Consider the following 16,832-nt stretch of genomic DNA (forward strand, 5'->3'; position numbering starts at 1 on the left):
ACACAAATACATCCAAAGGAACCAAATTAGGGTTGTAATGTGGAAGCCTAATGATTTTCCATCAGAACTCTCATATAAATGCCCTGTTTGATAAGAGAAATGAGCAGGAGCAAGGTCGTGGTGAAGGACTCTGCTGAAGCTTTCCCAAGGATTCCTATACTAAAGCTTTGGCTTTCTCAAAATATTCTCAGAATAAGCAGTTATTGTCATTCTCCAGAAAGTCAACCAGCAAAATGACTTGAGCTTTCCAATAAACTCTTGCCATGACCTTTGTGCTCTCCTCATCCACCTTTGTTTTGACTGGACTTTTCCACCTCTTGGTAGCCATTGCTTTGATTGTATTTGTTTTCCAGATTTTACTGGTAAAGTCTTGTGTTGTCTCCTGTTATAAATCATTGAAGGTGTGCTTACGGTCTTCATTGCTTGTATTTAAATTTTTAGGGAAACTTCTGCTCTTGTCTGTACTTGATCTTGGTGACACAGTTTGGGCATCCATTAAGTGAAAAGCTTACTAAACTTTGATCATTCAGTTAGAATCATGTAAACTGAACCAACTGAGAAGTCTGCGGTGTTGGCTATTGTGTGTGGTGCTAATCGTCACACATCTTCTCTTAGGGTATAAAGAAGATGAATGTATACCTTGCAATATGACATGGTTCATCTGTCACTGTAGGCTTTAGGTTCAACATTGCCTCATTCCTTCTTGAAATGAGGAACTCCTCATTGAATTTGTGAACTGCTGACTTCTTCAACCAATGTCAACTTACCATGTGGCAAGTAGGACAACTTTTTGGACACCGTCAGTGACTTCATCTTCTTCCACCCAAGCTTCACAATAAATTTGATGTTTGTAACTCTAACTTTAGAAGAATTCATGTTGCTCTTCTAGGGACTATTTTGAAACTGCTATCTTATTTTTCTTAATTCCTCAAACTAGCTCCTGTTGAGACATCTTATAGCAAGATATTCTAATTTCATTTGGTGCCAAAAAATTTGGAATCCATTCATGGTATTTCTTTTTTTTTTTTTTTTTTTTTTTTGAGACGGAGTCTTGCTCTGTGGCCCAGGCTGCAGAGCAGTGGCGCGGTCTCTGCTCACTGCAAGCTCTGCCTCCTGGGTTCATGCCATTCTCCTGTCTCAGCTTCCCGAGTAGCTGGGACTGCAGGCACCCACCACCACGCCTGGCTAATTTTTTTGTATTTTTAGTAGAGACGGGGTTTCAAGGATGGTCTTGATCTCCTGAACTCATGATCCACCCACTTTGGCCTCCCAAAGTGCTGGGATTACAGGCGTGAGCCACTGCGCCTGGCCCATTCATGGTATTTCTTAATAGAATATACATTCTCCGCCAACATTTTAACAACCCACTCCATATAGGAAGGCATCCTAACACAAGAAGATCTACTGGAGGTAACATAGACTTTTCCAGCTGACTAGGCAGATTAGTTTCTTGTTTTTCTTTTAGCATACATAGGAATGTTTTCTGAAGATGGGATATAATACCAGTCGCCAAATATTCTCCAGCTACATGGAAAGTGTAACATTTGTAACTGAGATTCACATGCTTCAAGAGAGACACAGAGTGCTTGGGCCTAGCGGCTATTCTGATGTTATTGAATGATTTTCTCTGGTTTCACCAAACATTATTTGGAAAGAGAAGCTGGCGATGAGCAGTCTGGCTTAGGTAGCTTATGGTGGCTTGTCAGGTAGGGAAGAAATGCAAGAGAGAAGAAGCAGCGGGGAGTGCCTACTTGTGGGAGTCACTGGGGAAGCTGCAGTCTTGGTTAGAGGCAGGCTACTCCTCATCTGCTGAGTACAGGAAGACAAGAGGTGATACTTCCAAGTATCACTCAGCTAATGCCCTATTCCTGACCTTCCCCTATGTCAGAAATGCATGAAAGAGACTAGAAAATCAGGAAGGAGTAAATATCAGGTATCAAGCTACCAGAGACAACCAAAACAGAGGTTACCAAAGAACTGAAGGAGACAGTGTCACTCAGGATGAGATCAAAACAAGGAGCAGGACTGCAACAGGAGCTTAGGCACTTGTCCATGAGTCAAGGACCTCAGCAATCAACTTGCCATTTAAAATAAATGTAAACTTACTATGTGCCAAGCAGGACTCTTGATTTCTACCTCCTAAAACCTGCTCTCCCCTGAGTTTCCTCATTATGACTGTCAAAACAAAATATCACAGACTAGGTTTTCTTCAACAACAGAAATTCCTTTCCAACACTTCTGGATGCTCAAGTTCCATGATGAAGCTGTCAGCAGGTTCAGTTCTTCTGGGCCCTGCCTGCTTGCCATCTACATATCTGCCTTCTTGCTGTGTTTCCCGTAGGTCTGCTTCTATACATACATAATTTTTGTGTCTCTCCGTGTGCAAATTTCTAGTTCTTATAAGGAATTTCCACTTCTTATAAGGACAGCAATCTTATTAGATTTAGTTCCACTGAAACTCCCCCATTTTATCTTGATCACCTCTTCTTAGGGCTGTTTTCTAAACACAATGATATTCTAAGGAACAAGAGGTTGGCTGTGGAGTTTTGTATACCTATGCCTATCATATTTCACTAAATATTTGATTATATAGATATCATTTCTTTGGAATTTTGAGCTGGGTGAAGACAACACAAACCTGGCCATTCATGGCTGACAGAAGGTTGGCCCTCAGCCTGGTCAGACCCACACAGATTGTCTAATATTCTCTGGCTCTGGGTCTAGTCAGAAAACTCTTGGTGTAGGATACAGGTGTCTTCATGCATTCTATCATTAATATACATGGGGAGGTTAAAAAAAACGTTGGCCATGAAAACTACCAAGGGGTTCTAGAAATGAACAGAAAGAATACACAGTTCTTGAATGAGACACCCTATTTCATGACTTCAAAATTTTTTCCTTGCTCTACCCCTTTGTTAGAATGTTTGATCAGATTTAGTTGGGCTTTACATCTTCTAGGAATTTTTTTTTATACAGACTCTTGCTCTGTCACCCAGGCTGGAGTGTGGTGTCATGATCCTGGCTTACACCATCCTTGAAATCGTGTGCTCAGGGGATTCCCCCAGCTTCAGCCTCTTAAGTTGTTTGATTACAGGTTCATGACACCCACCATGCCCATTTATTTATTTATTTATTTTTAATTTTTGAAGAGATGGAGCCTCACTTTGTTGCTCAGGCTGGTCTTGAACTCCTGGCCACAAGGGATCCTCCCACCTCACTCTTCCAAAGTCCTGAGATAATGGGCATGAGTACCCACATTCAGTCCTTCTTCTAGGAAAAATTTTTAATCACTCCCACTTATAATGAGTGGCCACAATTATGTATTCCAATAAGATAGTCTGGTACCCACATAAAAGCCTCAAGCATATCGCATTGATCTATTTCTTAGTACCTGTGCTATCTCTCTCCCAGATTGTTCTTCCACAAATAAATTTTTTTCATTTTTGCAATATTCTGAAACGAATTTCTCCAGACTCTCTTTCTAAAATGTATTTGTTGACATTTTGTGTTCTAAATCAAATTTCCCTGTGTTTATTTTTCATCTTACCTCTGGCTTCTTTTTAAATAAAATTTGATAAAATTTTTTAAATCTAATCTTCTAGATAAGCATCTATAATTCTTCTTACTCCTTTCTTTTCATTTTTGTTTTTAAAATTTAGATCAACATACTGTGTTTCCAAGGTCTTTTTACTGAGTTTGTGTTAGTAGCTCTCTTTTCATCTGCTGACTTTTCTATTATATCAAGTAGTTCCTGCCCATCGTTCCACCCTTTTCATGGAAAGTATAGGTGAGTCAGTATCAACAGCTGCCACTTACCATTTCAGGCCTCGAATAAGTCTTGTACTGTCATTCAGTTTTTTCTCAAGGATAGTGATAACTTCAGATGACCTTGTTAGAGGTATTGTGTGTGGGGATGTGACTGGACATCCTAAAGACAGGCCACTTGATCAGTTGGATGAGAGGATCCTGTGTTGTACACATAAGAATCTGTTCCTACTCTTCCAGAAGGGTCTGAGAATACAAGGGGATTTCAAAAATTTTTTGGAAGAACGTAATCACAATATGAAAGTAGACAATATAAACTTTATTTCTTAACATTATCTCCATCACATTCAAGAAGTTTGGCAAGTAATGATACAAGAAATTTAGCCTATCTACAAAGAATTGGGGACCCTGGGAATTTCACCATATAAATGTAGTCTTTTCACACTATTAACTGAAGAAAACAGAATACACGTTAAAGATATTTTAATATTAGAGAAAAAGAAATTCAAAGATACTGCATCAGTACTGTAAATTGGATGCCTAGTGATTTTCTTTTTTTTCTTTTCTGTTTTATTTTCATAGGTTGGGGAACAGGTGGTGTTTGGTTATGTATATAAGTTCTTGAGTGGTGATTTGTGAGATTTTGTTGCACCCATCACCTGGGCAGTACTCACTGCACCCAATTTATAGTCTTTTATCCCTCACCTCTTTCTGACTCTTTCCCCCTGAGTTCCCAAAGTCCACTGTGTCATTCTTAAGCCTTTGCATCCTCATAGTTTAGCTCCCATTCATGAGTGAGAACATACGATATTTGGTTTTCCAGTCCTAAGTTACTTCACTTAGAATGATGATATCGACTTATGAAAGATTGGAGAAAGTTAGGCAAAACTTTAGCAGATGAATGCCCAGAAAGGCTTTAGCAGAGTCCTTCTCCATCACAACAAAGCTCCTGCTCATTCCCCTCATGAAAGAGGAGCAATTTTCCAGTCGATGTTGTCATTCCTTGACCCTCCCCAAAGTTATCAACCAAAATACCTTGGGCATCCGAACACACTGTTGGCATAATATTTGTTTTTGTCGCATTTACTTAGACTAGACCACTTCCACCTCTTGGTACCCATTGCTTTGATTGTGTTTTTCCCTTTGAGTGGCACTGGTAAAGCCACATTTGATCTCCTGTTACAGCTCTTCAAAGACATGCTTAGGATCTTTTCTTTTCTTCTCCTTCCTACTTCTTTAATTTTTCATTGAATGTTCTGTTCTTGTCTGTAGCTGACTTGGGTACAGCAGTTTTGGCCCTCATCAAGTGGATAGTTTGCTCAAGTTTAAGCTCTTGTTTCTGTTGTTAATTGTCAGACCTCTTCAATTAGGCCAAAAGAAGATAAAGTTTTTGCCCATAAGTTGATGTGTATGGTCTGCTGCTGCAATGTTTACTTTCACCATTATCTCATCGATTCTAAAAGTGAGTTATCCATTCTGTGAAGGGCTGATTTACATGCGCACAAATATGTCCTAATGCATCAGTGATGTCACCATCCCTCCACCCAAGCTTCAACATAAACTCGAATTTGTTTTTCCTACAATTTTAGTAGAATATTTGCTGCTCTGATAGAGGCTGTTTTCAAACCGGTTTCTCAACCATGTTAGTGACTGAACGAGATCCTGTTCAGACATGTTGTAACAAGTTAGTACAAATGTATTTTGATACAAAAAATGTTTATATCCATGCATAATTTTTAAACATCATATGTATTTTCTACAAACAGTTTGAAGATGTCTTATATTATTGGAAGCCTTCCTCATAAAACGAGGGTTGCTGCAGATTACTCTGCCATTGGCTGGTGATCAGATAGATTGTTGTTTTCCTCCCTCACCCCTTCTGGAATATTAGGGATGTTTGCTAAAGAGGAAATATATTACCAGCTAGCAATTCTTCTTTGGCTACGCAGTAAGAAAACCGTTGTAGTTTGGCTTTATGTGCTTGGGGGGGTGGGGCATAAAGCAGTTGCTTGTCCTAGCACGTGCCCTAATGATACCAGGGTGACTGTGATTGGTTTCTACACACACTAATTGGACAGGGAAACTGGAGAAGAATGGTCCTGCCTAATGACTTACGGTAGACCTTTTAGTGGGAAAGGAAGATCCGAGGGAAGGAGCAGAGGGGAGTGCTTCGCAGACTTGCCTCATTGCATAGGTTGCTGTAGAAGTGGTAGTCCTGGTGTAAAAAGACTCCCCCTTGGCTTGATGAGTACAGGAAGACAGCAGGCATTGCCTTCAAATATCACTCAGCTCAGGCCCTTTCTCTGACATTGTCCAATGTCAGCAATGAGTGAAAGAGATTAGTTTATTAGGGAAGAATAAATATTAACTACAAAATCTCCACACACAAATAAAACAGAGATGACAGAAGAGCTGAATGAGGCCCTGTCAGTGAGTAAGGATGGGGTCAAAGCAAGGAGCAGGTCTGCAGCAGGAGCCCTGGCACCTTTTGGTCAGTTGAAGCTCTCAGCAATCCACTTGCCTTCTAATATGGATGCAAACATAATATGTCCCAAAAAAGATCCTTGATTTCTGCATCTTAAACGGCTCTCCCTTGACGTAGTTTGTTATGTCTGCCCTAAAAAAAACCAAAACACACTGTGTAATTTGAACAACAGAAATTGATTTTCTGAGGCTCACATTCCATGATCAAGGTGTTAACAGGTTCATTTCTTCTAAGATGTCTCTTCTTGGATTTGACTTGGCTAATTTAGTTTTTTTGTCCTCAAACACCTCGATCATTTACTTTCTGAAAAACTTTCACAGTCTACAAGGTCTTTTTTCAAATTTTAGACTTATATATGTCAGTTCTGAAATTTCTATTTTATTATTTTCTATAGTTCCTTTTTCTGCTGAGAAGCTTTTTCCCATTTACTTTGAGAGTGTTCACATTTACCTCAGAAAAGTTGACTATAAGAGCTGCTTTAAAGTCTGATCATTTCCATATCGAAGTGGTTTCAAGGCTGTTATATCTTGATTATACCCTTCATTAAGAATTGGTCAATTGTTTACGGTTTGTAAAAGTATATTGAGTAATTTTCTATTTTATGCCTCACATGGGCATTTTTCTGTGTTTACAATACACAAAAAATTCAACAAGGCAAGCTTTGGACATTGAAGGGTGGAGGCACTCAGGCTACATCGTGATCCACCCACTGGCTCCACTGGCAGAAGGGTTAATCCCACTGACATTATTCTACTTGGAACTTCTATGTGGATGATTCTCCTTGGCTCTTATGAGATAAGAGTATAAGCATTTCATATAGTACACACTTATAAAATTAAAAACAACAGAAAAGTGCGCTGAATGGGTCCCAAAGGCCTTATCCACTATGTCTTCCTAACTTTTCATGTTTTGTACCCCATTTTCTCAAAGCTCAAATGAACACAAGCACTTCTTTTCTCTTTTCCTCTACAAGAACCACAGAGTTTAACATTTGCTTCTTAGAGGCTATCCCAGTAGCCAGGCAGCCCTGCTCTCTTCTGACTGGGGATTTACAGAATGCAGGAAAATGAGGCTGAGGTAGAAAGAGTGACTATACACCCAGCATAATGGCTCATGACTGTAATCCCACTACTTTTGGAGGCTGAGATTGGAGGATTGTTGATGTCAGGAATTCAAGATCAGCCTAACAATATAGCAAGATCTCCCCATGTATACAACAAAATTTACAAAATCAACCTTGCATGGTGATGGGCACCTGTAGTCCCATCTAATTCAGAGGGTGATCTGGAAGAATTGCTTGATCCCAGGAGTTCAAGACTGCAGTGAGCCATGATTGCACCACTGTACTCCAGCTTAAGTGAGAGAACAAGTCCCTGTCTCTAAAAAGAAATAATAATACTAATAATAACAATAATAACAATAAATGACTACTGCAACTGAAAAGCTTTTTTTCCCCCACCCTGGCTTCTAGCCCCAGGGTCTACCTCCTTTAAATGCATCTCCAGTGTCTATGGATTCAACAGACTTCCAGTCTCTTCCTTTCTTTCCCCTTATATGCCACTGTAGCTCTATCCTGTATCCTCAGCATGCCTTCCCCCACTCCGACAGAATCAAGTACAACGGTGAATTGAGCAAGTATAGGCAATAGAGCTATAAATATCTATGTTTCTACCCTCTTTGATATTTTTTCAATATTTGGAGATGGGTATGTAGGGCCCTTAGTCCTTCTTGTGTCAGGGTCTTCTCAGGCCCAACCCAAATCCTGAAAGGAACTGAGATCAGAGTAGAGGAAAAGAAGTGATGAGAGATGTGAACAAAGTGTCTTCATGCAAGTAAGACACATTTACTGTCTAATTCAAGCATTGTAGCCACAGCCTAAGACTCAACTGAATAAACACGTGAATTTTAAGTCTCCCCAAATGTTTGCAACAGCTTTGGGGCATCTTTAACCCTTTACCTCCTGTTATCTTTGGAATGGAGCAAAAACTGAAAGTTTTACATGGGAAGTTTCCTTCAATTCTACCACCTGGTACTCAGTTTACAACCATTTCCCAATCCTTCTTGTTAATGAGCTATATAAAAGGAGACAAATTATTGACCACTTGTCATACATTTTGGTCAACATGCCAGCTATTGATATGTATTTTTTACATTATCAACTGAAGAAAAATGGATGCCTTTTACAAACGTTATAAGAACACAAAACAAAAAGAAAACAAAAGAAACCAAATTAGGGTTGTAATGTGTCCAGAATTGGTTTCTTCCAGTTGGTTCTTGGTCTCGCTGACTTCAAGAATGAAGCTGCGGATGCTTGCAGTGAGTGTTACAGTTCTTAAAGATGGTGTGTCCATAGTTTGTTCCTTCAGATGTTCAGATGTGTCTGGAGTTTCTTCCTTCCGGTGGGTTCTTGTTCTCACTGACTTCAGGAGTGAGGCCACAGACTTTTGCAGTGATTGTTACAGCTCTTAAGGCCGTGTCCAAAGTTGTTTTTTCTTCCTGGTGGGTTGGTGGTCTCAGTGACTTCAGGAATGAAGCCGCAGACCCTCTCGTGTGTGTTACAGCTCATAAAGGTAGTGCAGACCCAAAGAGTGAGCAGCAGCAAGATTTGTTGTGAAGGGCAAAAGAACAAAGCTTCCACAGCATGGAAGGGGACCCAAACAAGTTACCACTGCTGGCTCAGTTGGCCAGCTTTTATTCCCATATTTGGCCCTGCCCACATCCCGCTGATTGGTACATTTTACAGAGCGCTGATTGGTCCATTTTACAGAGTGCTGATTTGTCCATTTTACAGGGTGCTGATTGGTGCATTTGTAATCCTTTAGCTAGACACAGAGTCCTGATTGGTGCATTTTTACAGAGTGCTGATTTGTGCATTCACAATCCTTTAGCTAGACAGAGAGCACTGATTGGTGCATTTTTATAGAGTGCTGATTGGTGCATGTACAATCCTTTTGCTAGACACAGAGTGCTGATTGGAGCATTTTTATAGAGTGCTGAATGGTACATTTACAATCCTTTTGCTAGACACAGAGCAATGATTGGTGCATTTACAATCATCTAGCTAGACAGAAAAGTTTTCCAACTCCCCACTCGACCCGGGAAGTCCACTTGGCTTCACTTCTCACCAATGTGAAAGCCTAATGATTTTCCATCAGAACTGTCTTATAATTACCCTGTTTGATAAGAGAAATGAGCAGAAGCAAGGTTGTGAAGGTTGTGTTGAAGGACTCTGCTGAAGCTTTCCCAAGGATTCCTATACTAAAGCTTTGGCTTTCTCAAAATATTCTCAGAATAAGCAGTTATTGTCATTCTCCAGAAAGTCAACCAGCAAAATGACTTGAGCTTTCCAATAAACTCTTGCCATGACCTTTGTGCTCTCCTCATCCACTTTTGTTTTGACTGGACTTTTCCACCTCTTGATAGCCATTGCTTTGATTGTATTTGTTTTCCAGATTTTACTGGTAAAGTCACTTGTTATCTCCTCTTATAATTCACTGAAGAAATGCTTATGGTCTTCATTGTTCCTATTTAAATTTTTAGGGAAACTTCTGCTCTTGTCTGTACTTGATCTTGGTGACACAGTTTGGGCATCCATTAAGTGAAAAGCTTACTAAACTTTAATCATTCAGTTAGATTCATGTAAATTGAACCAACTGAGAAGTCTGCAGTGTTGGTTATTGTGTGTGCTACTAATCATCACACCTCTTCTCCTGGGTTTAAAGAAGATGAATTTATTCCTTGCAATGTGATGTGAATCATCTGTCACTGTAAGCTTTAGGTTCAACATTGCCTCATTCCTTCTTGAAATGAGGAACTTCTCATTGAATTTGTGAACTGCTGACTTCTTCTACCAATGTCAACTTACCATGTGTCAAGTAGGACAACTCTTTGGACACCATCAATGATTTTACCTTCTTCCACCCAAGCTTCACAGTACATTTGATGCTCCTACTCACTTTAATTTTAGAAGAATTCATGTTGCTCTTTTAGGGGTCTTTTGAAACTGCTTTCTTATTTTCCTTCATGCCTCAAACTAGCTCCTGTTCAGACATGTTATAGCAAAAGATTATGATTTTATTTTGGTGCCAAAACATTGGAATCCATTCATGGTGTTTCTTAATAGGATATACATTTTCCTTCAACATTATAACAACCCACTGCATATAGGAAGGTGTCCTGATACAATAAGCTCTACTAGAGGTAACTCAGAATTTTCCAGCTGACTAGGCAGATTGGTTTCTTGTTTATCTCCTAGGATAAATAGGGATGTTTTCTGAAGATGGAATATAATACCAGTGGCCAAATATTCTCCAGTTACACAGAAAGTTTAACATTTGTAACTGAGATTCACATTCTTTAAGAGAGAGAGAGAGTACTTGGGCCAGTCTGGTGTCCTGATGTTATTGAATGATTTTCTCTGGTTTCACCAAACATTGTTTGAAAAGGAAGCTGTTGATGGGCAGTCTGGCCTAGGTAGCTTATGGTGGCCCATCAGGAAGGAAAGAAACGCAAGAGAGAAGAAGCAGAGGGGAGAGCCAGGCAGATGTGACTCCTTGTGGGAGTCAGTGGGGAAGTTGCAGTCCTGGTTGGAGACAGACTTCTCCTTGTCTGCTGAGTACAGCAAGACAAGAGGTGATGCTTCCAAATATCACTCAGCTCACAACCTGTCCTTCTCCTATGTCAGAAATGAGTGAAAGAGATTAGCATATCAGGAAGGAGTAAATATCAGATATCAAGCTACCAGAGACAAGCAAAATAGAGGTTACCAAAGAACTGATGGAGACAGTGTCACTGATTTAGGATGGGGTAAAAGCAAGGAGCAAGGCTGCAACAAAAGCTTAGGCACTTGTCCATGAGTCAAGGACCTCAGCAATCCACTTGCCATTTAAAATAATGTAAACTTACCATGTGCCAAGCAGGACTCTTGATTTGTACCTCCTAAAACCTGCTCTCCCCTGAATTTCTTTATAATAGCCATCAAAACAAAATATCACAGACTAACATTCTTAAGCAACAGAAATTACTTTTCAACCCTTCTGGATGCTCAAGTTCCATGATGAAGGTGTCAGCAGGTTCAGTTCTTCTGGGCCCTGTCTACTTGGCATCTAGATATCACCTTCTTGCTGTGTCCTCCCATGGGGCTGCGTCTGTGCCTATGTACTTATTGTGTCTCTCTGTGTGCAAATTTCCAGTTCTTATAAGGAATTTCCACTTCTTCTAAGGACACTCATCTTATTGGATTTAGTTCCACTGAAACTCCCTCATTTTAGCTTGATCACCTCTTCTTAGGGCTGTTTTCTAAACACAATCATATTCTAAGGAACAACATGTTGGCTGTGGAGTTTTCTATACCTATGCCTATCATATTTCCCTAAACATTTGATTATGTAGAGATTATTTCTTTGGAACTTTGAGCTGTGTGCAGACAACACAAACCTGGCCATTCATGGCTGACAGAAGGTTGGCTCTCAGCCTGGTTGGACCCACACAGATTGTCCAATATTCCTTGGATCTGGCTCCAATCAGAAAAGTCTTGGTGTTGTAGGATACAGGAGTCTTAACGTATTCTATTATTAATATTCATGGAGAGGTTAAAACAAAGTTGGACACAAAAACTACCAGAGGTTTCTAGAAATGAACAAAATGAATACACGTCCTTGAATGAGCCATCCTACTTCATGTCTTTAAGAATTTTTTCTTGCTCTTCCCCTTTATTAGAATGTTTGATCAGATGCAGTTTGGGCTTTATGTCTTACAGGATTATATATATGTAAATATAGGCTCTTGCTCTGTCAGCCAGGCTGGAGTGTGGTGTCCTGATCATGGCTTCCAGCATCCTTGAACTCCTATGCTCTGAGGATTCCCCCCACTTCAACCACTTGAGTTGCTTGAATTACAGGTTCATGACACCCACCATGCCCGTTTATTATTTTTTAATTTATTTAAAAATTTTTTGAAGAGATGGATCCACAATTTGTTGCTCAGGCTGGTCTTAAACTCCTGGCCTCAAGGGATCCATCCAACTCACCCTCCCAAAGTCCTGGGATAACAGGCATGAGTCGCCACATTCAGTTGTTCTTCTAGGAAAAATTTTTAATCACTCCCACTTATAATGAGTGACCACAATTATATATTCCAATGAGATAGTCAGGAACCCACATAAAAGCCTCAAGGGTATTGCACTGATCTATTTCTTAGTACATGTGCTGTCTCCCAGATTGTTCTTCCACACAGAAATTTTTTTTATTTTTGCATTATTCTGAAAGTATTTTCTCCCCACTCTCTTTCTAAAATGTATTTGTTGACATTTCCTGTTCTAAATAATCTTCCCTGTGTTTATTTTTCATCTTATATCTGGCTTCTTCTTAAATAAATTTTTGGAATTTTTTTAAATCAAATGTACTAAGTAAGAATCTATAATTCTTCTTACTCCTTTCATTTTATGTTTGTTTTTAAAATTTAGATCAATATACTGTATTTCCAAAGTCTTTTTACTGAGTTTGTGTTGGTAGCTCTCTTTTCGTCTGCTGACTTCTCTGTTATATCAAGTAGTTCCTGCCCATCATTTCATCTTTTTATGGAAAGTACAGGTTAGTCAGTATTAACAGCTGCCACTTATCATTTCAGGCCTCGAATACTCCTGAGACATCATTCAGTTTTTGCTCAAGGATAGTGATAACTTCAGGATGCCTCATTAGAGGTATTGTGTGTGGGGCTGCCACTGGAAATCCTAAACACAGGCCACTTGATCATTTCGATGAGAGGATCCTGTGTTGTACACATTAGAATCTGATCCTGCTCTTCCAGATGGGTTTGAAATACAAGGGATTTCAAAAGGTTTGTGGAAGAATGCAATTACAATATGAAATTAGACATTATATAAACTTTATTTCTTAACATAACCTCCACCGCATTCAAGAAGGTTTGCAAGTAATGACACAAATAATTTAGCCTATCTATAAACAATTGAGGGTCCTGAGAATTTCACCATATAAATACAGTCTTTTCACATTACTAACTGAAGAAAACAGCATACACATTAAAGTATTTTTATCTTAGAAAAAAAAAGAAGTCTGAGGAACAGCTCCAGTCTACAGCTCCCAGCATAAGCAATGCAAGAGATGAATGATTTCTGCATTTCCAACAGAGGTACTGGTTCATCTCACTGGGGATTGTCGGACAGTGGGTGCAGTGCACCAAGCATGAGCCGAAGCAGGGTGAGGCATCGCCTCACCCGGGAAGTGCAAGGGGTCAGGGAATTCCCTTTCCTAGCCAAGGAAAGGGGTGACAGATGGCACCTGGAAAATCGGGTCACTCACACCCTAATACTGTGATTTTCTGATGGTCTTAGCAAATGGCACATCAGGAGATTATATCCCGTGCATGGCTCGGAGGGTCCTACACCCAAGGAGCCTCGCTTATTGCTAGCACAGCAGTCTGAGTTCAAACTGCAAGATGGCAGTGAGGCTGGGGGAGGGGCACCCACCATTGCTGAGGCTTGAGCTGGTAAACAAAGCAGCTGGGAAGCTCGAACTGGGTGGAGCCCACTGCAGCTCAAGGGGGCCTGCCTGCCTCTGTAGACTCCACCTCTGGGGGCAGGGCATAGCCAAACAAAAGGTAGCAGAAACCTCTGCAGACTTAAATGGCCCTGTCTGACAGATTGGAAGACAGTAGTGGTTCTCCCAGCACACAGCTTGAGATCTGAGAATGGAGAGTCTGCCTCCTCAAGTGGGTCCCTGACCTCTGAGTAGTCTAATTAGGAGGGACCCCCCAGTAGGGGCAGACTGACACCACACATGGCCGGGTACCCCTCTGAAACAAAACTTGCAGAGGAAGGATCAGGCAGCAACATTTCCTGTCCATAAATATTCACTATTCTGCAGCCTCCACAGCTGATACCCAGGCAAACAGGGTCTGGAGTGGACCTCCAGCAAACTCCAACAGACCTGCAGCTGAGGGTCCTGACTGTTAGAAGGAAAACTAACAAACAGAAAGGACATCCACACCAAAACCCATCTGTACGTCACCATCATCAAAGACCAAAGGTAGATAAAACCACAAAGATGGGGAAAAAACAGAGCAGAAAAACTGAAAATTCTAAAAATCAGAGTGCATCTCCTCTTCTAAAGAATGCAGTGCCTCACCAGCAACAGAACAAAGCTCAATGGAGAATGACTTTGACGAGATGAGAGAAGAAGGCTTCAGACGATCAAACTACTTGGAGCTAAAGGAGGAAGTTCGAACCCATGGCAAAGGAGTTAAAAACCTTGAAAAAAGATTAGATGAATGGCTAACTAGAATAACCAATGCACAGAAGTCCTTAAAGGACCCGATGGAGCTGAAAACCACGGCACAAGAACTACATGATGAAAGCACAAGCCCAGTAGCTGATTCAATCAACTGGAAGAAAGGGTATCAGTGATGGAAGATCAAATGAATGAAATGAAGCAAAAAGAGAAGTTTAGAGAGAAAAGAATAAAAAGAAATGAACAAAGCCTCCAAGAAATATGGGACTATGTGAAAAGACCAAATCTACATCTGATTGGTATACCTGAAAGTGAAGGGGAGAATGGAACCAAGTTGGAGAACACTCTGCAGGATATTATCCAGGAGAACTTCCCCAATCTAGCAAGGCAGGCCAACATTCAAATTCAGGAAATACAGAGAATGCCACAAAGATATTCCTGGAGAAGAGCAACTCCAACACACATAATTGTTAGATTCACCAAAGTTGAAATGAAGGAGAAAATGTTAAGCACAGCCAGAGAGAAAGGTCTGGTTACCCACAAAGGGAAGCCCATCACACTAACAGCTGATCTCTCAGCAGAAACTCTATAAGCCAGAAGAGAGTGGAGACCAATATTCAACATTCTTAAAGACAAGAATTTTCAACCAGAATTTCATATCCAGCCAAACTAAGCTTCATAAGTGAAGGAGAAATAAAATACTTTACAGACAAGCAAATGCTGAGGATTTTGTCACCACCAGGCCTGCCCTAAAAGAGCTCCTGAAGGAAGCATTAAACATTGAAAGGAACAACCGGTACCAGCCACTGTAAAAACATGCCAAATTGTAAAGACCACTGAGGCTAGGAAGAAACTGCATCAACTAACAAGCAAAATAACCAGCTAACATCATAATGGGAGGATCAAATTCACACATAACAATATTAACCTTAAATGTAAATGGGCTAAATGCTCCAGTTAAAAGACACAGACTGGCAAATTGGATTAAGAGTCAAGACCCATCAGTGTGCTGTATTCAGGAAACCCATCTCACATGCAGAGACACACATAGGCTCAAAATAAAGGGATGGAGGAAGATCTACCAAGCAAATGGAAAACACAAAAAGGCAGCGGTTGCAATCCTAGTCTCTGATAAAACAGATTTAAACCAACAAAGACCAAAAGAGACAAAGAAGGCCATTACATAATGGTAAAGGGATCGATTCGACAAGTAGAGCTAACTATCCTAAATATATATGCACCCAATACAGGAGCACCCAGATTCATAAAGCCAGTCCTTAGAGACCTACAAAGAGACTTAAGACTCCCACACAATAATAATGGTAGACTTTAACACCCCACTGTCAACATTAGACAGATCAACGAGACAGAAAGTTAACAAGGATATCCAGGAATTGAACTCAGCTCTGCACCAAGCAGATCTAATAGACATCTGCAGAACTCTCCACCCCAAATCAACAGAAAATACATTCTTTTCAGCACCACACCACACCTATTCCAAAATTGACCACATAGTTGGAAGTAAAGCACTCCTCAGCAAATGTAAAAGAACAGAAATTATAACAAACTGTCTCTCAGACTACAGTGCAATCAAACTAGAACTCAGGATTAAGAAACTCACTCAAAACCGCTCAACTACATGGAAACTGAACAACTTGCTCCTGAATGACTACTGGGTACATAACGAAATGAAGGCAGAAATAAAGATGTTCTTTGAAACCAATGAGAACAAAGACACAACATACCAGAATCTCTGGGATACATTCAAAGCAGTGTGTAGAGGGAAAGTTATAGCACTAAATGCCCACAAGAGAAAGCAGGAAAGATCTAAAATTGACACCCTAACATCACAATTAAAAGAACTAGAGAAGCAAGAGCAAACACATTCAAAAGCCAGCAGAAGGTAAGAAATAACTGAGATCAGAGCAGAACTGAAGGAAATACAGACACAAAAAACCCTTCAAAAAATCAATGAATCGGGAGTTGGTTTTTTGAAAATATCAAAAAAATTGATAGACTGCTAACAAGACTAATAAAAAAGTAAAGAGAGAAGAATCAAATAGACCCAATAAAAAATGACAAAGGGGATATCACCACCGATCCCACAGAAATACAAACTACTATCAGAGAATAATATAAACATCTCTACACAAAAAAACTAGAAAATCTAGAAGAAATGGATAAATTCCTCAACACATACACCCTCCCAAGATTAAACTAGGAAGATGTTGAATCTCTGAATAGACCAATAACAGACTCTGAAATTGAGGCAATAATTAATAGCTTACCAACCAAAAAAAGTCCAGGACCAGATGGATTCACAGCCAAATTCTACC

This window comes from Homo sapiens, chromosome 12 (assembly GCF_000001405.40).
Source record: "Homo sapiens chromosome 12, GRCh38.p14 Primary Assembly".
NCBI lineage: Eukaryota > Metazoa > Chordata > Mammalia > Primates > Hominidae > Homo > Homo sapiens.